Here is a 23,911-nt window from a genome sequence, read left to right as displayed (position 1 = left end):
GAAGATGGCGCTCTTTATCCACCTACCTCACAGCCCTCCCTCCCCACTGCCCATGCCGGAGTTCAGGTATGGTAAGAAATGGTACATTTTCATGAACTATTTTCTTAACACTTATTTTTATTTTATTTTATTTATTTATTTATTTTTTTGAGACGGAGTTTTGCTCTTTTTGTCCAGGCTGGAGTGCAATGGCACAAATCTCGGCTCACTGCAACCTCCGTCTCCTGGGTTCAAGCGATTCTCCTGCCTCAGCCTCCAGAGTAGCTGGGATTACAGGCGCCTGCCACCATGCCCGGCTAATTTTTTGTATTTTTAGTAGAGATGGGGTTTCACCATGTTGGCCAGGATGGTCTCGATCTCTTGACCTCATGATCCGCCCGCCTCGGCCTCCCAAAGTGCTGGGATTACAGGCGTGAGCTACCGCGCCCGGCCTATTTTTATTTTTTAAAATTTATTGTTGCTCTGTTGCCCAGGCTAGAGTTCAGTGACACGATCTCAGCTCACTGCAACCTCTGCCTCCTGGGTTCAAGCGATTCTCTTGCCTCAGCTTCCCGAGTGGCTGGGATTACAGGCATGTACTAGCATACCCAGCTAATTTTTGTATTTTTAGTAGAAGTGGGGTTTCATCTTGTTGGCCAGGCTGGTCTCGAACTCCTGGCCTCAAGTGATCCACCCGCCTTGGCCTCCCAGAGTGCTGGGATTATAGGTGTGAGCCACCGCACCCAGCCTATTTTCCTAATACCTATCACAGTATTAGCAGCATTAGTAATAGATGAATTGAGGATTATTATTAATGACTAATGACAGGAACAATAGAGATAATTTATAAAGTACAAGGCCCCATGCTCAGGACAACACCGATATTTCATTTAATCAATCCTGTAAGATGATTTTCCATATTCCCATTTTTCAGATGAGGCTTGGCAAGTCATATAGCCAAGGAACTGCTCTCAAGTGGAGGATCCAAGATCTAAATGCAGCTCTCTCTGGCTCTGAAGCCTCTGCTTTCTTCACTCCACAGCGCTGACATCCTTGTAGTAGTTTGTTTACTACAAAGAAATGTTTGGCTTCCCTGTGTCGAATCTGGGGCTTACATCTGTATCGATGAAGCAGAGGTTTCCAACAGAACAGGGAACTGAGGTTTGCAGGCATCCTGTCCCTCCACACCCCACATCAAGAGATTCAATCCACTAGCTAGTAAAAATGTGTTTTTTATGTGTTCAATAAACAGACTTTTTTAGCATTCATATGCCAAGAAAAGCAAAACTGGGCAAAATCTTGGTTGGTGGGGATACAGAGACAATTCCATATGAAAGGACTCTAGAGACTGCATGAGTCTGAAAAGTTGTAAAACCGTTCCTGCACTTACACTGACAAAGAGACATGACACTGAAACTTCTTGGAACAAGGGAAGTGTGAAACACAGTACCATGTGCTGCTGGATCATTGGACTGAAGGTGGCCAAGAACTGCTGTCTGCTTACTTTGGGTCTGGAGGGCCTTCACCAAGGGGTTTCATGGACAGCTTGCACAGGGAGCGGAACACAAGGAAGGCATCCTTCTGCAGAACGTGGGAGAACCTGGCAGCCACTTGATGTCCTTGTGCATCCGATTCCTAGGATCAGAAACAAACATCAGCTGGGTGTGGTGGCACCCACCTGTAGTCCCAGCTACTCCAGAGGCTGAGGCAGGAGGATCCACTGAGCCGAGGAGGTCAAGGCTGCAGTAAGCCATGATGGCACCATTGCACTCCAATCTGGGGAACATAGTGAGACCGTATCTCAAAAAATAAAAAGGGAGAGGACAAAACAAAAGCTAACTCTTATCAAAAATTAGAAATGTAATTATCTCTTGGAAATTCAAATTCTTCTATTTAATAGAGAGATGAGGGATGTGGGGGAGGGAAGGATATGACAAAATAGGAGCTATGGAGAAGCCATCACAGCAATTCTACAACCTTGTTCCTTGTTCTTCAGAGTTGGTATGGGTGGTTTAAAATGAAAAATGATCAAAAGTTAAGCTGTAAAAAAACCAAAACTAATACAGGTAATTATACTAGCTTGGGTAAGAAAGATATTTCTAAGAATACTATTGTAAGCCAGGTGCGATGAATGGCTCACGCCTGTAATCCCAACACTTTGGGAGGCCAAGGTGGGCAGATCAGTTCAGGTAAGGAGTTCCAGACCAACTTGGCCAACATAGTGAAACCTCATCTCTGCTAATCCCAGCTTCTTGGGAGGCTAAGACAGGAGAATCGCTTGAACCTGGGAGGTAAAGGTTGCAGTGAGCCGAGATCGCGGCACTGCACTCCAGCCTGGGTGACCAAAAAAAAAAAGTAAAAAAAAGAATACTATTGCAACTATTGCAGGATAAACGGGTAACAAAGTATAGGTATTACGAAATAAACTTTTTTCACCTAAAAAAAAGGTAAATTACATTTAAAAGCAAAACATAAAAATAAAATTTTTTGGCCAGGCACGGTGGCTCACGCCTGTAATCCCAGCACTTTGGGAGGCTGAGGCGGGCGAATCACGAGGTCAGGAGATCGAGATCATCCTGGCTAACACGGTGAAACCCCGTCTCTACTAAAAATACAAAAAATTAGCCAGGCGTGGTGGTGGGCACCTGTAGTCCCAGCTACTCAAGAGGCTAAGGCAGGAGAATGGCATGAACCTGGGAGGCAGAGCTTGCAGTGAGCCAAGATTGCGCCACTGCACTCCAGCCTGGGCAACAGAGCGAGACTCCAACTCAAAAAAATAAAATAAAAATTTTAAAAACATATAATAAAGATTAATATCCCCCACATATAAAAGTTCTCATAATTCATTAAGGAAATATGAAAACCTTCCTCCAAAATGAAAACAACATGGATAAGCAATGTACCAATAGATGCAAATGATAAAGAAATCTAAATGACCTTATTACTCATCATTAGAGTAGGAGCTTTCTCCTATCAGACTAGCAAAGATTTGAATAAAGGCTGCTGCCTAGTTTTAATGAGGGAATGGGAAAATGGGTATTGAGAGATTAAAGGTGGACAGGTATTCAAGTAGTACCTTCCCAGAAGACTGACTTGGTGTTAAATGTCAAAAGCCTTAACACTTCCAACTCCCACTCTCTTTCATTCATTTACTTATGAGACATGATCTTGCTACAGTTATTTATTTATGAGATGGGGTCTCGCTATGTTCCCCTGGCTAGACTTCTGGGCTCAAGCGATCCTCCAGCCTCAGCCTCCTGAGTAGCTGGGAATACAGAAGCATGCTATTACACTCAGCTAAAACTTCCAACTCTTGAACCATCAATACTACTTGCAGGCATTTATTCCTAAGAAAGAATTAAGAGTTATCTATAAGGATATTCATTATAGAACCATTTCCTATGATAAAACTGGAATAATCTAAAAACCCAATAGGGAATTGGTTAATAGATTACAGTGATCCATACAGAATTTTACATGGCCATTAAAAATTTCTGTTAGCTCTACATATACTGACAGGGGAAGATGCCCATCATATAGTGTTGAGTAAACAAAGCAAATTGCAGCTTAGCATATAACACGAGTCCCTTGTATAGATTTAAGCGCATCCTCAAGGGGGGAAAAAAACATTATTCTGGTTGGATACAGTGGCTCAAGCCTGTAAACCCAGCACTTTGGGAAGCTGAGGTGGGCAGATTGCTTGAGCCTAGTTCAAGATCACCCTGGGCAATATAGTGAGACCATGTCTCTACAAATAATAATAAAAAATTAGCCAGGTATGGTGGTGCATGCCTGTAGTCCCAGATACTCAGGGGGCTGAAGTGGCAGGATCATTTGAGCCCAGGAAGTGAAGGCTGCAGTGAGTCGAGATCACACCACTGCACTCTAGCCTAGGTGAGAGTGAGACTGTGTCTCAAACAAACAACAAGAACAACAAACCCTTATTATTTTTATGTATAAAGCACAGATATACATGTAGCATATGGATATCCAGTTTATTGCTGGCATTACAACTTAATGGGGAATGATGATTAGGAAAAAATGTCTACAAAGTTTTCTTGGAGGAAGGGGCAATAATGAAAAAGATTGAGAAACACTGGTAAAAAGACAAAGAAAATGGGGTCTAGAGGGACACTCACATCATATTACTTCCTATTTTGAATGTTTATATTTAATTTTAAAGCAACTTTTAAGAGAACAGTAAGGCTATTTAAAAATATAATGTGGCAGACATATCTATGGGCCTGAGAGAATGTTCATAATATAAATTGTTTAAAAAGCAGGTTGCAACACAGGATACATACTGTATTATTCTATTTAAGTGGAAAAATACGTGAGATGGAGAAAAATCTAGATGGATTTAAGTAAGATGTTAACAAGGGCAATCTATGGGTTATGGATGGCTTTCAATACAGTCATACTGACTTTTCAATACAGAGAAGGAAAGACGGGTAACTATATATTTTATTTTTCTATAATGAATGTATACTATTTTGAGAGAGAAGAAAAGTGGCAAGAAATTTAAGTATTAGAAGTCTGAGTAAACAGGGTTTAATAATGATGTTATATACCAAGCAACATTAGCACGTTCTAAGAACTGAACCTGCTAATACAAAGAATATCAGCCCAGGACTGTGTGACTAATAAAGGAACAGGGCTTGCTTATTTTAGTTGCTTCTTTTGAGGAAAGACTTAATTCTGCATCTTTTGAAAAAGTAAAAATGGCAATAAGTCCACAGAGGATGATCACCAACATACCAGATTATCTGCTGACGACAAGGACTGCCTGTCATCGGCTATCCCGTTGGTCTGTGAGTTTTCATCAACTCCTGGGGGAATAGCACATTCCTGGCACTCCAGTTCACCTAGAACTCTCTCAGGTTCTGTCAGACCATGCTTTTCCGCTGCTTCTTAAAACACAAGTACAAAGTCATAGCCAAATTAGTACTGTACTTACCCTAAAGGGCTGCCTGACACCAAAAAGAAGTTATCTGTGAACCTCCCAGCTGTTGCTTTTTCCCCTTTTCCTGTGCCACCAGCCCATGACTGACATAATCCTGGAAAAGCCTTGGCCAAAGTGATGCTTAAGCCTTACGAGTGTTTGTTATCCACAGCCCCACTGCCAGGGCCACAGCAATATACAATTCTCTCCAGATCAATGGTGCCTCCAGAACTGTGCAATGCAGCAGCCCTACCCACCCCCATTCACTTTTGAAAAAGATTAGAAGCAGCTAAACATGAAAGGTACAGATTTTTTTAAAGTACCATTAATAAAGGAATTAGAGAAGAGCCAGTTATGACAGAAAACCTTAGTCACAGAGAAAAAATGTAAACCTGAGCTTCTTGGCAGCCATGTGAAAAAAGGGAATTAAAATAAAGAATTACACAGATTTCATCATTTAATGAAGGAAAGCATATCTGATGATCAGCAGAGCAATGAAACTCTAAGAAAAATTTATAATGTGGTTCTATAAAGGGACATGAAACAATGAGAACAATTTTCAATAATAGCCCTACAAAGCATATTTCATTCAATAAATATTTATCAAGTGCCAATTATGTACCAGGCTCTGCAGTAGCGGCTGGAGGACACAAAGTAAACAAGACAAACATCCATTATGTGATGACTTCTTGTATAGATCCCAGAAACAAATCTAAAGGTATGAAATAAAATTTTTCTATTTTACAGGCATTTCTATAAGAAGTTAAATAAATAATAGAATATGTATATAGCTTTGTGGTACCTAAACAAAAAGATAGGGCTTAGAAAAGTGGCTTTCAAATCTTGACCTCTGTAAGAAATTAATTTATAAAACTGTATCCCAGTATAGACATGGGCACATAAGTAACTGAAACACATTTCATGAAACAATACTTAACATTATATGTGATACAGTCAGATCATTTGTACTCTGTTTCATTTTACTCTCTTTCATTTAAAAAAAAGCTGATGAAAACCCATTAAGATTTTGATTTCTGGACAAATTCATAATTTACTGGCATTGGAACAAAGTGTTCAACATATACCCACTGACCTGAGATTTTGGGCAGAAACAAAGAAAAAAGATCATCTAACAGTCATTCTGAGCCATACAAGTTTAATTCCACTGAAACCATACCATGAGGCACTTATGAATGAAGCCTAACAAAACAAAGCTTCCCTGTACACCTGATACCTGCTGACATGTGGACTGTCCCCTTGACACATCAATGGCTGGCCATGAAAACTCAGCTCCAATGGACATGGATCTCAGGGCTCCAGCCCACTCCTAGAAAAACCTGGACATCCCCTAATCTACAAGGCATATGGAATGGCCCTTGGCATCTCTATGTGGAGCATCTAAGCCTAACACAGTCAGACTATGTGTCTTTTTTTTGAGATGGAGTCTCGCTCTGTCACCCAGGCTGAAGTGCAGTGGTGCGTTCTCGGCTCACTGCAACCTCCACCATCCAGGTTCAAGCAATTCTCCTGCCTCAGCCTCCCGAATAGCTGGGACTACAGGCGTGCGCCACCACGCCCGGCTACTTTTTGTATTTTTAGTAGACAGGGTTTCACCATATTGGCTGGGCTGGTCTTGAACTCCTGACCTCGTGAACCGCCCGCCTTGGCCTCCCAAAGAGCTGGGATTACAGGCATGAGCCACCGCGCCTGGCCCAGACTATGTTTCCTAAACCCAACCCAAATGAGACTAAAATCAGTCAGTAAAAACAAGTCATTTTTGAATCCCATATAAAAGATGGGCAGACGTGGGAAGATTCAGTTTCCATGAGCTCCACCAGTTCTTAGGGCAGGGAAGAGGAAACTCCACCACTAAAATATTTTGCTGAGGACTTTTTGGAGGAATGAGGGAAGAGGAAAGGCTGGGTTGTCCTTGGTTCTTACCTTTAATGGCAGATGTGACTACATCTTCCAAGATGTCCTTCACCACCTCCTGGGCTCCGTCATCAGTCCCTACACACACATCCAAATATACAAAACACACGTGGGCATTTTCAGGAAAAACAAAGGAAGAGAGGAAAAGGAGATTATGGGGAGTTACATTTCAGAAGGCAAAGGGTGCAAATAAGTTCTCCCCAAGGCCAAATCTGATTGTGTCAATGGAGGACAACTTCCTTGAAATCTGGAAACTTAGGCAGCATCTGTTCTGCTTTTGAGGTTCCCTTTGTGGAACACTAAAACCCCACTGGCTTATACTACTCTCTTCCTTCCTAAGTCCCAGTGGCTCGGCCCAGGGCCCTCCCCACCACCCCCAACTTGGAGGCAGGAGCTCGATTTTATCCAGCCAGAGTTCCTGGCAGAACAAATGGAGCTTTCTCTTGTGCCTTAGCCTCGGGGACCAACGAGCCTTGGTAAATGACATGCCTTCTGCTGCTTCGCCTTCTCACACTGTAAACCCAGAATCTGGCATGAGATTTCCAATGTGATAGTTAAGGATTTACTAAACTTTTATGAAATTATTCTGTAAAATGTTAACTGTTTAAGTAGAAGAGGTTCAGTATCTCTTACTCCCCCCGCCGCAGAAAACTAGCTCTGGGAAAGAGCTTACGTAAAGTAAACAGTTCTTGACCAGATATTTAGAAGTAAACATTACTTTTTTTTTTTTTTGAGACAGAGTTTTGCTGTCTTGCCCAGGCTGGAGTGCAATGGCACCATCCCAGCTTACTGCAACCTCCACCTCCTTGGCTCAAGCAATCCTCCCGCCTCCTCACCACGCCCGGCTAATTTTTGTAGTTTTAGTAGAGATGAGGTTTCTCTATGTTGCCTAGGCTGGTCTTGAACTCCTGAGTTCAAGTGATCTACCACCTTGGCATCGCAAAGTGCTGGGATTACAAGCGTGAGCCATTGTACCTGGCCTAACATTACTCATTTATAAAACATCACGTTGACCAAAAAAGCCATCACCTTAAAAAAGCAAAACCAAAATAATCCTTTGACTGTGTATTAATGAGAATTTTCAACCCAGCCACCATTTTTATGAGTTCTATGCTTGATCTATAAGGTCCCGGAGGGCAGTGCTAAGTATTTTCATTTCCACTGGGCACTTAACACTCTGGAACTATCTACGTGGCAAAGTAAATTCGTGTGGGAAATACTGATGTTATAAGCTTTTCCTAGAAGGCAAAGGGAACTTGAAATTAGAAAACCCCAGAAACAGTCACAATTGCTAAACTCACTTCTTCATCTAAAAAGGATGATTTAGACTAGATCACTGTTACTCAAACTTTAGTCATTCTCAAACCACCTTCATGGCTTTTGCCACATTCATGCACCACTATAATATTATATATTATTATGTATTTTAAATATACTGTTATGCACCACATAACAACGTTTGGTCAATGAGGAACCACATATACAATAGTGGTCCAGGAAGATTACAAATGGAGCTGAAAAATTCCTATCGTCTAGTGACATCATAGCCGTCATTATGTCACAGCACAACTTATTACTTATATTCGTGGTGATGCTGGTGTGAACAAACCTACTGTGCTACCAGTCATATAAAAGAATAGCACATGCAGTTCTGTATAGTACATAATAATTGGTAATAAACCACTATGTTATTAGTTTGTTATTTATTTATTTTTTATTTATTATTTGAGACGGAGTTTCACTCTTGTTGCCCAGGCTGGAGTGCAATGGAGCAATCCCAGCTCACTACAGCCTCCGCCTCCCAGGTTCAAGCAATTCTCCTGTCTCAGCCTCCTGAGCAGCTGGGATTACAGGCATGAGCCACCACGCCCAGCTAATTTTTTGTATTTTTAGCAGAGATAGGGTTTCTCCATGTTGGTCAGGCTAGTCTTGAACTCCCAGCCTCAGGTGATCCACCCACCTCGGCCTCCCAAAGTGCTGGGATGACAGGCATGAGCCACTGCGCCCGGCTAGTTTATGTATTTATTATACTTTTTTTTTTTTTTTGAGAGAGTCTCACTCTGTTGCCCAGGTTGGAGTGCAGTGACACGATCTTGGCTCACTGCAACCTCCGCCTCCCAGGTTCAAGCAATTCTCCTGCCTCAGCCTCCTGAGTAACTGGGATTATAGGCGTCTGCCACCACACCCAGCTAATTTTTGTATTTTTAGTAGAGACAGGGTTTTGCCATGTTGGCCAGGCTGGCCTCAAACTCCTGACCTCAAGTGATCTGCCTGCCTCAGCCTCCCAAAGTGTTGGGATTACAGGTGTGAGCCACCGTGCTCAGCCTATACTATACTCTTTATTGTCATTGCCTTCTACTTATTTAAAAAAGAAAAAGTTAGCTGTAAAAAAGTCTCAGGCAGGTTCAGGAGGCATTCCGGAAGAAAGTATTGTTATTATAGGAGATACCAACTTCATGTGTGTTATTGCCCCTGAAGACCTTCCAAGGGACAAGATGTGGAGGTGGAAGACAGTGATATGAATGATCCTGACCCTGTGCAGGCCTAGGCTAATCTGTGTGTTTTGTGGCTTAGTTTTTAACAAAAATAATTTTAAAGTTTTAAAAACCTAAAAATTTAAGAAATAGAAAAAAAAGTATAGAATAAGAATATAAAGAAAAAATATTTTTGTGCATCTGTACCATGTGTTTGTTTTAAACTAGGTGCTATTACAAGAGCCAAAAAGTTAAAAAAAATTGTTTATAAGGTAAAAATGTTACAGTAAGCTAAAATTAATTTATTATTGAATAAAGAAAATTATTATTATTATTATTATTATTATTATATTTTGAGACAGAGTCTCGCTCTGTTGCCAGGGTCGAGTGCAGTGGCACAATCTCGGTTCACTGCAACCTCCGCCTCCCGGGTTCAAGAGATTCTCCTGCCTCAGCCTCCTGAGTAGCTGGGACTACAGGTGTGCACCACCATGCCCAGCTAATTTTTGTATTTTTAGTAGAGAAGGGGTTTCACTATGTTGGCCAGGATGGTCTCGATCTCTTGACCTCGTGATCTGCCTGCCTCGGCCTCCCAAAATGCTGGGATTACAGGCATAAGCCACCGCGCCCAGCCAGAAAATTAATTTTATAGGCTGGGCACAGTGGCTCATGCCTGTAATCCCAGCACTTTGGGAGGCCAAGGCGGGTGGATCACCTGAGATCTGGAGTTCGAGACCAGCCTGGTCAACAACAGAAACCCAGTCTCTACCAAAAATACAAAAATTAGCCAGGTGTGGTAGCGGGCACCTGTAATCCCAGCTACTCGGGAGGCTGAGGCAGGAGAATCACTTGAACCTGGGAGGTGGAGGTTGCAGTGAGCAGTGATCGTGCCACTGCACTCCAGCCTAGGCGACAGGAGCAAAACTCGGTCTCAAAAAAAAAAAAGAAAATTATTTTTATAAATTTAGGGTAGCCTAAGTGTACAGTGTTTATAAAGCCTGCAGTGGCATACGGTCATGTCCCAGGCCTTCACATTCACTCACTGCTCACTCACTGACTCACTGGAGTAACTTCCAGTCCTGCAAGCTCCATCCATGGTAAGTGCCCCATACAGGTATATCAGTTTTTATCTTTTGTACTGCATTGTGACTGTACTTTTTCAAATACTTACCACTGTGTTACCAAAGCGTACAGTATTCAATACAGTAACATGGTGTACAGGTTTATAGCCTAGGAGCAATAGGCTATACCATATGCCCATACCAACAAGCTATACATATGGTATGTAGTAGGCTATACCATCTAGGTTTGTGTAAGTATACCCATAATATTCTTTCGCAAAACAGTGAAACTGCCTATGACTCATTTCTCAGAACGTATCCCTGTTGTTAAGCAATGCATGACTGCGAGTATTTACTAGTGCTCTTTAACTCACCTTAAGCAATAAAATTCACAAAATAACAGTTTTCATACATTAGTTATATTTTCTGAATGCATATTAAAATAAATAACCATTAAAATATAAAACGTTCTGGTGGGGCATGGTGGCTCATGCCTGTAATCCCAGCACTTTGGGAGGTTGAGGTGGGGAGGATCACCTGAACTTAGGAGTTTGAGACTAGCTTGGACAACACAGCAAAACCCCATCTCTACAAAAAGTATAAAAATCAGCAGGGCACACCTGTAGTCCCAGCTCCTCGGGAGGCTGAGTCAGGAGGATCACTTGAGCCTGAGAGGCAGAGGTTGCAGTGATTTGAGATTGCGCCACTGCACTCCAGCCTGGGTGACAGAGTGAGAACCTGTCTCAAAATGGAAGGAAGGAAGGAGGGAAGGAGGGAAAGAGGGAGGGAGGGAAGGAAGGAGGGAGGGAGGGAGGGAAGGAAGGAGGGACAGAGGGAGGGAGGGAAAGAGGGAGGGTGGAAAGGAGGGAAGGAAGGAGGGAGGGAGGAAAAGAGAAGGAGAGAAGAAGGGAGGGAGGGAGGGAAGGAGGGACGGAGGGAAGGAAGAAGGGAGGGAGGGAGGGAAGGAAGGAGGGAAGGAAGGGTTCACTTATCATGACATCTCACCTCTTGTAATTTGGAAAACATATGACTAGATATTTCCAAGTTCCTTTCCAGTCCCAACCTTCTCTGATGCTATGATATTAATAAAATTATGGTGACAGTTTCCAATCTGTATCATACATTCCAAAGTACACAGCACCTCATTTACATTCAACACCCAAGAAATATCAACTCATTTTATCAAAGAAGCTACAGCCTCAGTGAGTTAGACCAGAGGCTATAGAGTGGTGACTGGCAAGTACCTCTGCCTGTACATATGTATTGCTTAGCCTATGTGCTGCTTTTTAAAACTTCTGAATTAGCTGCCAACATTTAAAAACCAGGAGACTACTCACAAAAACCAGAATGGGCTTCTATTTAAAAAACCCAACTATGTGGCAACACTGGGCCACAACTGGCTGGAACCAGGTGAAGCTGCCCTCTTCAGCCAGGGCATGAACTCAGCTGATACCCTGTTGCCTCAGTCCTCACCACTCCCAATCGACTCCCTTCCCTTGGGGCCAAATGCGAGGTGCCATCACACTTGGACCACTGTTGTTACTACACAGTAAGCAGGAAAGTAACATGTCTGTCAAGAGCAGAGAAAATGGGAGGCTGACTGGGCAGGGTGTTTTAAGAACATCAGAGAAGGCTGGGCACGGTGGCTCACACCTGTAATCCCAGCACTTTGGGAAGCCGAGGTGGGCAGATCACGAGGTCAGGAGATCGAGACCATCCTGGCTAGCGCGGTGAAACACCATCTCTACTAAAAATACAAAAAAAAAAAATTAGCCAGGCGTAGTGGCGGGCTCCTGTAGTCCCAGCTACTCGGGAGGCTGAGGCAGGAGAATGGCGTGAACCCAGGAGGCGGAGCTTGCAGTGAGCCGAGATTGTGCCACTGCACTCCAGCCTGGGCGACAGAGCGAGACTCCGTCTCAAAAAAAAAAAAAAGAACATCAGAGAAAAAATGTTCCCTTGTAGAAGTGAATTCAGCATGATGAATAACAGCGAGGGCTCTGGAGCCTGCATGCCTGGTCCGGGTCCCTGCTCTGCCACTTCCCACTGTGGGGACTTAAGTTACTTAACCTCCCCAAGCCTCAGTTTCCTTACCAGTAAACAAAGCCCTGTGAGAATGATACACATAAAGCATTTAAAACAGTGCCTGAAAAAAGTGAGCTCTCAAATGCTACTTTTTATTAGGCCTGTGTGTTTATATGTAGGTGCTTGTGTGAAGACATTTATGATGTCCTCATGATAGAAGCCTGCTCATTTCTGTCACCCGCCTGGCCCTGCAGACTAAATCCATAATGAAAATTTCCAACGAATCACACTGCAAGTAGTTCCAGTTAGTTAAAACCTTCACTATCTTTCATTCCTAAGGAGAAAAACAAAATTTCACATCAGCATGGATCTCCTCTTTCCCTCACTGCAGTTTTTCCATTTAAACAGCATCAAGAGCAACGTTTTTTGGAGGGATAGAGTATATAACTCATATTCCTTAATAGGCAGGATCCATAATAGTACTTATGCAAAATCAAAACATTCTCAGGCCAGGAAGAGCTAAGGAGAGTCAGAAAGCCCGAATACCAGCAGAAGGTTCCTGAAGAGGGAGCTGCTAAGGAAAAATCCCAGTAGAGGCCCCAAAGCAGGAAGACTCCACCCAGTAACTGTGGACTGCTTCCCCTGCTGACATGACAGCCTTGGATAGGTCTCAGAAGAGGCTTTTCTGGATGTTGTGATAACCACTACTAAGTCCATTGTATCTAAGTTTCAAGCATGCTGTGAAAGTGTTTGATAATTAAATCAAATCAAACCTTTGAGAGGTACAAAGAATCTACTTAAAAACCACTGGTTCTGCTCTTCCCTGGGATATCACCACCACTACTGATTAGGCACCAGACCCTATCTGTTTCAGACTCTGCCCCGAAGCAAAATAAGAGGGCCACCTTGAATAGGCTCACATAGGAGAAACCTTGCTGCCATTCCCTCCCTAGCCAGCTGGAGAACACTCTGTGGCAGGCACTGCCAGTTCTCTAACTCATATCCTTCCTAACAGATCCTGAATTTTGTTTTGGGAGGGAATGTGCCTACATTTCTCAGCCTTTCTTGCAGAAAGGGTGATCATGTGATGAAGTTATAGCCAATGAGGGGTAAGCATAAGTTATCAGGGTTGGCAACAAGCTCCAGAAGACTCCTCTTTAGAAGGGGGGTGACTCAGCTGGCAGAGTTCTTCAGTCCTATCTCTTCCTCTTTCTTCCTACCTGGAACAAAATGACAGGATCCTGAGCCATAAGATGACCCTAAGGATAGAAGTCACATGCTAAGAATAACGGGGAAAAAATGGGAGGAGTCTGAGATAAGGCCTCCCCACATCCCTGTTCTCTGTCCAGTTAAATAGGGAGCATGGGGGATGGTGGGGCGGTAAGATTCATTCAATCAACAAACTGAGTGTGTATGTGTCCGGCACAGTTCCAGGCATTTGGAACATATTGCTGTCTAAAACAAAGATCCTGGTTGGGCGTGGTGGCTCACGCCTGTAATCCCATTACTTTGGGAGGCCGAGACGGGTGGATCACCTGAGGTCAGGAGTTCGAGATCAGCCTGGCCAACATGGTGAAACTCCGTTTCTACTAAAAAATACAAAATTAGCCAGACGTGGTGGTGTGAGCCTGTGGTCCCAGCTACTCGGGAGGCTGAGGCAGGGGAATCACTTGAACCTGGGAGGCAGAGGCAGAGGTTGCAGTGAGCCAAGATCTCACCACTGCACTACAGCCTGGGCAAGATGGCGAGACTCATTCTCAAAAAAAAAGATGCAAAAAGTGAGCTAAGAAATCCACACAAACACATAGGTAATTCTACACAGTATCTGTAAAAATGTACACACACTGATGTCTGATGCTGGGAGTTAAAAGTCAGAATCCTAAAAACAAACTTTAACTCCTGGCCTCAAGTGGCCCGCCTGCCTTGGCCTCCCAAAGTGCTGGGATTGGAGGCGTGAGCCACCACAGATGTCCAGGTCTATTGGTGAATTCTCTTCATCTACACAAATAACATGGGAGGCAAATTATCCTAGGAAGGCTGTGGGGGGGATTCCCAGTTAATTAAATTGGAAAACATTATGTTGAATGCCAAGTCAGCAGTACAGTGAGTGTCCAGTTAGGGTTGGCCATGTGATGGTGATTACTACAGGACAGTCTGTGGGAGAGCCCCATGGTTGTGTCCAACATCCATGCACTTTAGTAATATGTAAAAATAATAGCCACAGAGGCACTAGAGCTCAGGCCTTTCACTGGGCCTTGATGCCTGGACTCCGCCCCTGGGTACGTGTCTCCCTTGTTCAACTCCCTCTTCTGAAGGACCTGTTCTTTCTTTAGAGCCTAGTCCTGAGAACTGGAAGTCATTTGCTCCTTTAAGATTGACTGACTGATTTAGAGATGGGGTGTTTATTTATTTAGAGAGGGGGTCTTGTTTTGTTGCCTAGGCTGGAGCACAGAGGCTATTCACAGACACACTGCAGCCTCAAACTCCTGGCCTCAAGTGATCCTCTTGCCTCAACCTCCCAAGTAACTGGGAATACAGGTGTGTGCCATGGCACCCAGCCCACTTGCTCTTTTTAAAGGTAACAGCACACTTCCGTTCTGACCCACTATTTGCAGGTCTGGGGTTTGCTTCTCCCAGGCAATCTGATTCCCATGTTCCTGGGAAAGTCTCACAGGATGCACCAAGTATTGGCCACAAAATCCACAGCAACATGCTAACAGCAAATTATTTTCTCTTTGTTAGAGCAGAACTTCAAGTTACTGCGTTTCTACAAAATTATGTTCTAGCAATAACGTTTTTTCCCCATTCATTCAAAAAATGTATTTGCTCAATGTCTGCTGCGTGTGCCAGGCACCATTCTAGGTGTTGGGAATATGGTGGTGAGCAGGGCAGCCTAGGCTTCAGTGCAGGAACAAGTGAACAGAACCCTTCAGTAATTTCAGGTATTGTAAGTACTATGGAAAAAAATAAAAGATAATGGGACAGATATGATGAGGAGCTACAGAAGTTGATCAGAGAAGCCTCTCTCAGTCTGAACTGAGAGACCTGAAGATACAAGGGGTTCAGAGGCAGGGAAGGGACAGTAAGTGCAAAGGCACTGAGGGAGAAACAAGCACAGCCGTTCAATAACCAGAAAGGGCACCTGTGCACTGTGTAGCAAAAAAGAGAAAGAGAGGTATAAGCTATGAGGACAGGGCATGGATTTCAGTCAGAATGGCACAGGATGGGGAATTACCAAAGGGGTTTGAGCAGGGGTCATGCTCTAATTCACGCTTTTAAGAGATCACTTTGGCTGCTGTACAGAAAATGGGCTAAAGTGGAAGCACTTTTATGCAGGTCAGAGAGACTTGGTTTTATATCTGCACAGCTATGCTTATTACAGTGTATTTAAATATTAATATTTATTGACTGATCACAGCTTAATAAGGGTTACAGTAAAAACCTGGTCCTTTCCCTAGAGAGTTACAAAGGCAAAGATGATAACAGACACAGAGGGTGGGCCGGGGGATTCTGAGCACCTTCCTTAGGACTCTCGACAGCAGAAGTAAGTAGAAGGCAACTCCGTGCTCACCCTGAGACACAACACCATTCTTGGTGGCAATTTTTTCTTTTGTGCTTTCCTTGAGTAAATGAATACCAAACAACATTCCAGCAACAACACTTGGTCTGTTCTCATGTACATCAAGCAGTCTGGTAAATTATAAAGGAATAAAACCTGCTCAAATATGTGCACTCCAGTAGGGAACATACTACCAACAGAAATCATTATCAGTAATGTGGCTGAAGAAGAAATGAGATCAGTTATGAAGACAGGTCAGATATTTTGTATAGAACAACCTGCTTGAGTGAAGAAGCATTTGACAGAATCACTTGGGAAAGGAAATTCCTGAAAAAATACCAATTTTGGATCTGGTTCCTACAAACTGCCCAGGGAGAGATATGAACAGTCAGAAGTATCATCTTATAACAACTCAATCCAGTATTTCATTTCATTTACTTTAAGAATATAATCAGGTGTGGGTTAGTCTCTCACTTAAAAACCCAACAAAAACAAGTGATGTACATGGTCACCAGAAGAAGAAAACAAAGCTATCTGTCCATCTGTCTATCCGTCCATCCACCTGCTACCTTCTGGCTCCTTCCATGGATATCTATGAGTGGCTACTGCTAGGCACTGGGCAAGGCATGGAGATCCAGTGTAGACATGAGAATCTAAGCCCTTGTCCTCCTGTGGACACTGAGTGACTAATCACCCAATCAATTAACTACTGAAAGATAAGTGTCCCAACCTGAACCTGTTGCACTGAGGCTGACATGAAGAAGTAGCAGCTAGATACATCCCAGTACTATTTAGAGAAAACAGCACAGCTGACAACGGGACACTTGACATCATGCCTCACTGGTTGTGTTCCCTAAGAGAAAAGCAAAGGGAAAGGCCCAGAAAGAGATAAGCTGTTATCAGAGGTTTCCTTCAGATGTTATGACATACACTTCTTCTGCCCCTCACAGGCTGATTCCCTCTCACACTTGGAAAAAGAGCCATACCGTATCAGCCCGTACCTGACAGTGATGAGCCTCTTTCTCTGGGTGCGTCTCCATTTTCTGTGCTTACTTTTCCAGAATCACTCCTGGCATGTTCACCGTTGGTTAAATCTGTTTTTTCGGGAGTTGTTGGTTTGCTTTGTGCCTGACTGTGCTTCAAACGAACGAACTTTGGGGATACTGCTGCAGCTTGGATCACAGGGGACTGGGGTTTTGACTGGATTGGTTTTTCCAGTTCTCTGGCCTCCTGCAACTAAAAGGCAACAAAAGGGGGATACAGCATTTTGGTAAGGAAGAAAAATTATGCCAGCCTATTACTTAAAAAATTTCCTGGGCTGGGCGCGGTGGTTAACGCCTATAATTTCAGCACTTTGGAAGGCTGAGGCAGCAGGAATTCTTGAACCCAGGAGTTCGAGACCAACCTGGGCAACATGGTGAAACTCTGTCTCTATAGAAAATAAAAAAATTAGCTGGGTGTGGTGGCACATGCCTGTAGTCCCAGCTACTTGGGAGGTTGAGGTGGGAAGATTGCTTGAGCTGGGAAGGTCAAGCCTGCAGTGAGCCATGATCCTGTCACTGCGCTCCAGCTTGGATAACAGAACAAGACCCTCTCTCCAAAAAAAAAGAAAAAAGAAAAAAAAAAAAAGAAAGAAAGAAAGAAAGAAAAATTCCAGCCAAAAGGATAACATATTTAAAAGGAAATAAATTCCTTTGACAGTCTCCAAACAAATTCTGAACACAAATTTCAAAACCCTTTAGTTTCTCTGATTTTTAAAGCAAGAACAAAAGCACAGTACAGAGAATCCACAGGAAGAAGGGGTAGCTTTAAAATGCTAGTGATTCTTCACAGGCACCAAGGTCACACATGATAGAGTTCAGAGAGCAATGATGTCTTGCCCCTAGCACGTAAGTGCTGTCACTCACCACTTGGTTTTCCATGCGGGTGAAAATGACGTTCAGCATCTGAGTAAGGGTAGCCTTGGCAGTGGTTTGATTGATGAGATTTTTGCTGGCCAAATAGATATTGTAACATGTTCTCACTGTCTGCAGGATAGTACCCTCATGAATTTCAATGTGTGGGGAAGTCACTGCAGTCAGAAGAGCCTAAAATAGAAATCCGCGACCTTCACCATCAGGAACGCACATCACCTTCCTGCCCTCCTATGGCCACACTTTTCTAGAGGGTCTGGTTTTGTTTTTCTTTTCTGTGTGCTTTTTTCAAATAAATTGTAAGATGGCTCTGCAAATTAAACTAGGTGATTATTATGAAGAGCCAACTCCTATGGCTGTTAGTTGAAAAACAATGAACAGTTCTATGAAATCCAAATCACTCGAAACAATTAAATTGTGTTGAAGCAGGCTTTCTACTGGCTCACTTTTTAAAAAGCCAAACTTCCAGCCAGGCAGGGTGGCTCACTTGAGGTCACGAGTTCAAGACCAGCCTGGCCAACATGGTAAAACCCCATCTCTATTAAAAATATAAAAATAGTCCAGGAGTGGTGGCACACACCTGTAGTCCCAGCTACTCGGGAGGATGAGGAACAAGAACTGCTTGAACCTGTGAGGTGGAGTTTGCAGCGAGCCGAGATTGCACCACTGCACTCCAGCCTAGGCGACAGAGCAAGACTATGTCTCAAAAAAAAAAAAAAAAAAAAAAAAAGGCCAAACTTCTGAATTTTCATACTGACTGAAAAACCTAAAATGAATAATACAGACAATTATCTCATGACATATAACACTCCAACGTGATCTCACCCAGATTAATCAGAAAATATACGTTTCGATGTGGTCAGTTTCCCAATTCCCTAGTGGGTTTTCAAGGGAGCTTTAAGAAAGGTTTATCTAGCATGGAGCCCTCCCCTCATAATGTTAATACTTTCAGGACTTAATATTTGGATCCTTGGCTACACCTGTCCTGATCCTGTTCTCAGACAAGCAGATGGTACTATCTGTGCCAAACCATTCCTGGCAGCAGAAATCGAACAGGGAAGTAGGACAGAGGCAAGTCAGAGATAAGAATATCAACAAAGACCCACTGAGAAACCCAGACTGGGAATCCAGGGTTAACCAGAGGATTTCAAGACGATTTAATTCACAAGAAATTTACATTGTTATTAGCTGAACAGTTTACTTTGAAAACACACCTGGTTCCATTTTTCTTGTCTCAGTCCACGCTAATAAATTCTGACACCTAACAAAAGATCTAAGTGACGCTTAAATCTTTCTGTTCCACCTCAGCACCACCTGAGACAACTAACACATAGTAAATTAGAAATCCAGATTCCCACAGGGACTTGCTTTCTAATTTAAAAACCAGACAGGCAAACAAATAGGCATACCTTAATTATTTGTAACTGAACCCCTTCATCAGTCTGAGGGCCCTGAAAACAACTGCAAATGGTTTCAACAATTCTGTCGATCAGCCGCTTCCCAGGGGCTCCACTGTCAGGGGCGTTGCCAGTGATGTGCCCGTATGCGATGAGTTTCTAAAGAGAGAAAGAACAGAGATTATACATTTCTGCTTGGCTAGGACTGAGGCCTTCCGTGGCAGCCCACAAGAGCAAAAGACAGGCACTTCCAGTTCCTACAGAGTCCTCTGCTCCCCAGGAGCCAGGCAGGCATAACCACTCTGTGACTGCAACCTTCGTCCTGTCGCCTGACAGCAAAAGATGCCTGGAATGGTGATACAGTATCCGATGAAAAATGCAAGGTATAGAGCACTCCCCAGTACGCAACCATCTCTGCAAGCCTGAGGAATTAATAGCTACACATACTCAAGACAGAGAGATTAGTGGTTGTCTAGAGTTAGGGGGGCGGCGTAGGGAGACATAGGGAGTGATCGTCAATGATAACATAAAAATGGTCTAAAGTTAGGTTGTGGTAATGGTTGCACAACTCTGTCAATAAACTAAAAATCACAAAATTTTGTGTGTGTGTGTGTGTGTGCATGTATATACATACATATATATATATATATATATATATATATATATATATTTTTTTTTTTTTTTTTTAGACAGGGTCTTATTCTGTTACCTAGGCTGGAATGAAGTGGTACGGTCATGGCTCACTGATGCCTCCACCTCCCAGGCTCAAGCAATCCTCCTACCTCAGCCTCTTGAGTAGCTGGGACCACAGGCACATGCCACCAAGCTAGTCTAATTTTTCTTTATTCTTTGTAGAGATGGGGTCTTGCTATATTGCTCAGATTGGTCCCAAACTCTTGGGCTCAAGCGATCCTCCTGCCTGTAATCTCAAAGTGTTGGAATTACAGATGTGAGCCACCGCGCCTGGCTTGAATTACACTTTAAATGGATGAATTGTATGCATGTTAATTTTATCTCAAAAAGCTGTTAAAATTATATATATATATGAATATGTATTTTCTTTCAATGGAAAGATACCTAAGAAACTAATAACATGGTTGCTTGAGGGAGGAGAACTAAGTAGCTGTGAGCTGGGGTGGGACTAAGACACTCTGTAGTACATCTTTTCATTTTTTTCAACGTTGAATCCTGTCAGTGTATTTTCTACCCCAAAAATTAATGTAAAAACTTCATCTGCATTTCACACCTACATCAATAGTAGTGTGTGTCACCCACGAGCAGCTGCTTGGAACGTGCCCTCTCTGAGAGGTTACAAATTGGTCTGTGCCACCTCACACACAACCGGGATGTCAGCATGGAGGACAGAGCTGGAAGGAACCTCAAAGGTCAGCAGCAGGATGATTTCTAAGCCTGGCTGAGAAACATAATCACCTGAGGGAGCTCACTAAAAACACAGGTTCCTGGACTCCGACCCAGACCTACTGAAGCAGAACTTCCAGGTGGAGCCCAGGAATCAGTGTTTTTCTCCAAGCTATCCACGTTATATTGATGGTTGATCAGATAAAAGAATCACTCATCTGGCACATATACATGTGAACTCTAAGGCATTCTCTGCCTCCAGTGACTTGGTGAAGACTCCTAAAACTGCTGTTCTGTTCTTTCCCCTTTTTGGCTTCTACTGGTCACATGCTTCTGCCCCCACCAGGGGGACTCAGGTTCCTGAGGTTATCTATAGAGCAGCCACCACTGTGGGAGGAAGACTGGCCGCTCTGCAAAGGTCCGACACCGTTTCTCAATGGCTTTTCCCCTTCCTTAGCTAGTGAAGTGTCACCACTCAACAAGCAGAAAGAAAAATGGATTGAGAGAGTGGCTGAGAGTAGAAATGCAATACTACTGGATGGAGTAACTGAAGGAGCAGGAGAGAGGCCTGCGTACACTCTGCTGCTCAAGTCCAACCCCCAAATCTCCAGGTGAGGGGTGTGGCCTGTGAAGGGCAAGTCCAGATGCCCTTTACCTCACCCCTCACATTGCTGCTGCAGGTGCAGGCTTCCTAGGAGGGCAGGGCTGTCTACCTGGAAAATGAGCTCTGGTTTTGACATTGCTTGTTCTTACATCTAACAGACTCAAGTCTGTTTTGTGCACTGGATTGCAAGTGGGGTGGTCTAGGAACTCCTCAAATGTGAATGCTGAAAAGTAGGCTGCAATACTGATGCCACAAAGCAGGCTGGACATGGATTACGACTTTCGCACTTTAACTAAAGTATGAAAAGGACAGAAAGTATCCTCCCCTCTCCAGACTCCTTAAGGGGCACATTACTCTTCAAATCAGAAAGGGTTTTAAGCATGACTTCCCCCCTCATCTGTGCAGTGAGACAAGGCCAGGAGAAAGGAGAGTTCCTGTATCCTGTGGATCTTTCTGGTTCTGCTTTCTCATCCTTCTTTGTGACAGACCCTGTTCTGGGCACTGGGGATACAATAGTAAGACAAACGTAATTATTTTTCTTATAGAGTCTATATTCTCCAGGGAGGTGCACCAAAGCTCAAAGTCCTAACTGGGACCTACAGGGCTGTGTGTGACTTGTAGATACTGCCCCCTATCTCCCACTATCCCCCAGGTAGATGTCCCCACCTTGTTCCTTGCTAACGCAATGAGCGGCGGGAAGACGGACAGGGAGGGAGGCCTCTAGGCAGCTGGCCCACTGACACATGAGTCAGGGCTTGCACAGGGACATTCTGCCATGGAGGGGAAGATGATGACAATATAATACACTATAACAGGCCTTTATAGGACTCACTGCATGAAGGAAAATGCTATGCGGTTGGTTTCTTGGTACAGAATAGGACATACTGTACCTCTGTACTGTAATAAACAGAGGTTAGGGTAAGTAAGCTGTATTACAAGTTATCCCACCCACATGAATGAATATATTTGGTACAAATTAAGTCTTCTACCTCACTGGTCTCTTCTGAAGTTGGTTCTATTTACTTTGCCTCAGTGATAGGAATCCAAAGAGTCACCTCTGACCAGAGAAACTGAGGCATGTCTCCAAGGAGGCTTGCACAGAGATGTTCACTATAACCCTGTGTGTGCCTCTGTACAGGGGAGCGAGAGATGGAATGGTGGCATGACACGTCATATGCCAGTCAAAAGAATGCACTAGATCCACATGGAGAGATATAGCTAGAGCCTGATAACGGTGTTGAATGTAAAAAGCTGCAGAGAAACTTGTACAAGTGATATCACTTATTGAAAAAAAAAGAGAGGAAAGAAAAGTATACACCTAAACAGGCAATTGGGTTTGGGGCTGGTGGCCCAAGGAACTTCATTTTATCTGTAAAGTTCTAAAAACCTTTTAACAGAGACTGTAGTCATGTACAACTTACATAATTAAAAATTGATTTTTCATTGTGCATTTAAAAAATCAAAAGTTTTCTGGAAATAAGAGCTAAAAGATAATGTTTATGGTATAAACAGGGCAGCTTAGATTAATGGTTTCCTACAGCCTTCACTGGGATGTAAAAAGAAAATGTTAGAATTTTATTTATATTTTTCCAATTGTCCTGTCAAAGTTGTATTTTTGTATGCTTTACAATATATGTAATTTATTTATTTATATATTTATTTTGAGATGGGGTCTCACTCTGTCACCCAGGCTGGAGTGCAGTGGCACGATCTCTGCTCATTGCAACCTCTGCCTCCCAGGCTCAAGTGATCCTCCCACCTCAGCCTCCTGAGTAGTTGGAACCACAGGCGCATGCCACTATGCCTGGCTAATTTTTTGTATTTTTAGTACAGGCACCCCATGTTGCCCAGGCTGGTCTTAAACTCCTGAGTTCAGGCAATCCACCTGCCTCGGCCTTCCAAAGTGCTGGGATTACAGGCGTGAGCTACTGCGCCTGGCCATATATATACTTTAATAACAGGAACATGTGTAAATAAAGAGGTTTTTGTAGAAATGAGGTCTCCCTATGTTGAGCTCAAACTCCTGGGCTCAAGCAATCCTTCCACCTTGGCCTCCCAAAGCACTGGGATTATAGGCGTGAACCATCATGCCCAACCCATAACTTTATTTTAATTTTTGGAGGCAGAGTCTCACTCTGTTGCCCAGGCTGGAGTGCAGTGACACAATCCTGGCTCACTGCAACCTCCATCTCCTGGGTTCAAGTGATTCTCCTGCCTCAGCCTCCCAAGTAGCTGGGATTATAGGCATGTGCTACCACACCCAGCTAATTTTTTGTATTTTTAGCAGAGATGGGGTCTCACCATGTTGCCCAAGCTGGTCTTGAACTCCTGAGCTCAGGCAATCTGCCCGTCTCGGCCTCCCAAAGTGCTGGGATTATAGGCATGAGCTACCGCACCTGGCCCTAACCTATAATTTTAAATTAAAGAAATATGAATATATTGGCAGGATATCCTCAAAAATGGTTTTATTATTCACTTGAGGCCAGGAGTTCGAGACCAGCCTGGGCAACAAAGTAAGACCCCGGTCTCTACAAAAAGTAAAAAAAATAACTAGCTGGGTGTGGCGGCACACACCTGTAGTCCCAGCTACTCGGGAGGCTGAGGTGGGAGGATTACATGAGTCCAGGAGTTTGAGGCTGCAGTGAGCTATGATCAAGCCACTGCACTCT

General features: G+C 43.5%; 1 protein-coding gene across 3 annotated transcripts in view; it reads right to left on the bottom strand.

Moving 5' to 3' along the window:
* Nucleotides 1-23,911, bottom strand: part of ARFGEF2 (ARF guanine nucleotide exchange factor 2) — a 114,983-nt gene that overhangs the window by 65,933 nt on the left and 25,139 nt on the right. For 2 of the 3 annotated variants that reach the window (NM_006420.3, XM_047439832.1), the window contains 6 exons: nt 19,292-19,438; nt 17,877-18,056; nt 16,971-17,205; nt 6,863-6,931; nt 4,738-4,889; nt 1,484-1,614 (listed from right to left, as the gene is read on the bottom strand). In NM_006420.3, the coding sequence (NP_006411.2) occupies nt 1,484-1,614; nt 4,738-4,889; nt 6,863-6,931; nt 16,971-17,205; nt 17,877-18,056; nt 19,292-19,438 (914 nt within the window). The remainder of the gene's footprint in view (nt 1-1,483; nt 1,615-4,737; nt 4,890-6,862; nt 6,932-16,970; nt 17,206-17,876; nt 18,057-19,291; nt 19,439-23,911) is intronic. The other variant, NM_001410846.1, reaches the window with a different exon arrangement.

Source organism: Homo sapiens, chromosome 20 (genome assembly GCF_000001405.40).
Source record: "Homo sapiens chromosome 20, GRCh38.p14 Primary Assembly".
In the NCBI taxonomy this organism is placed as follows: Eukaryota; Metazoa; Chordata; class Mammalia; order Primates; family Hominidae; genus Homo; species Homo sapiens.
The sequence above is the reverse complement of the archived record's forward strand: the minus strand, read 5'-3'. Positions and strand labels throughout refer to the sequence as shown.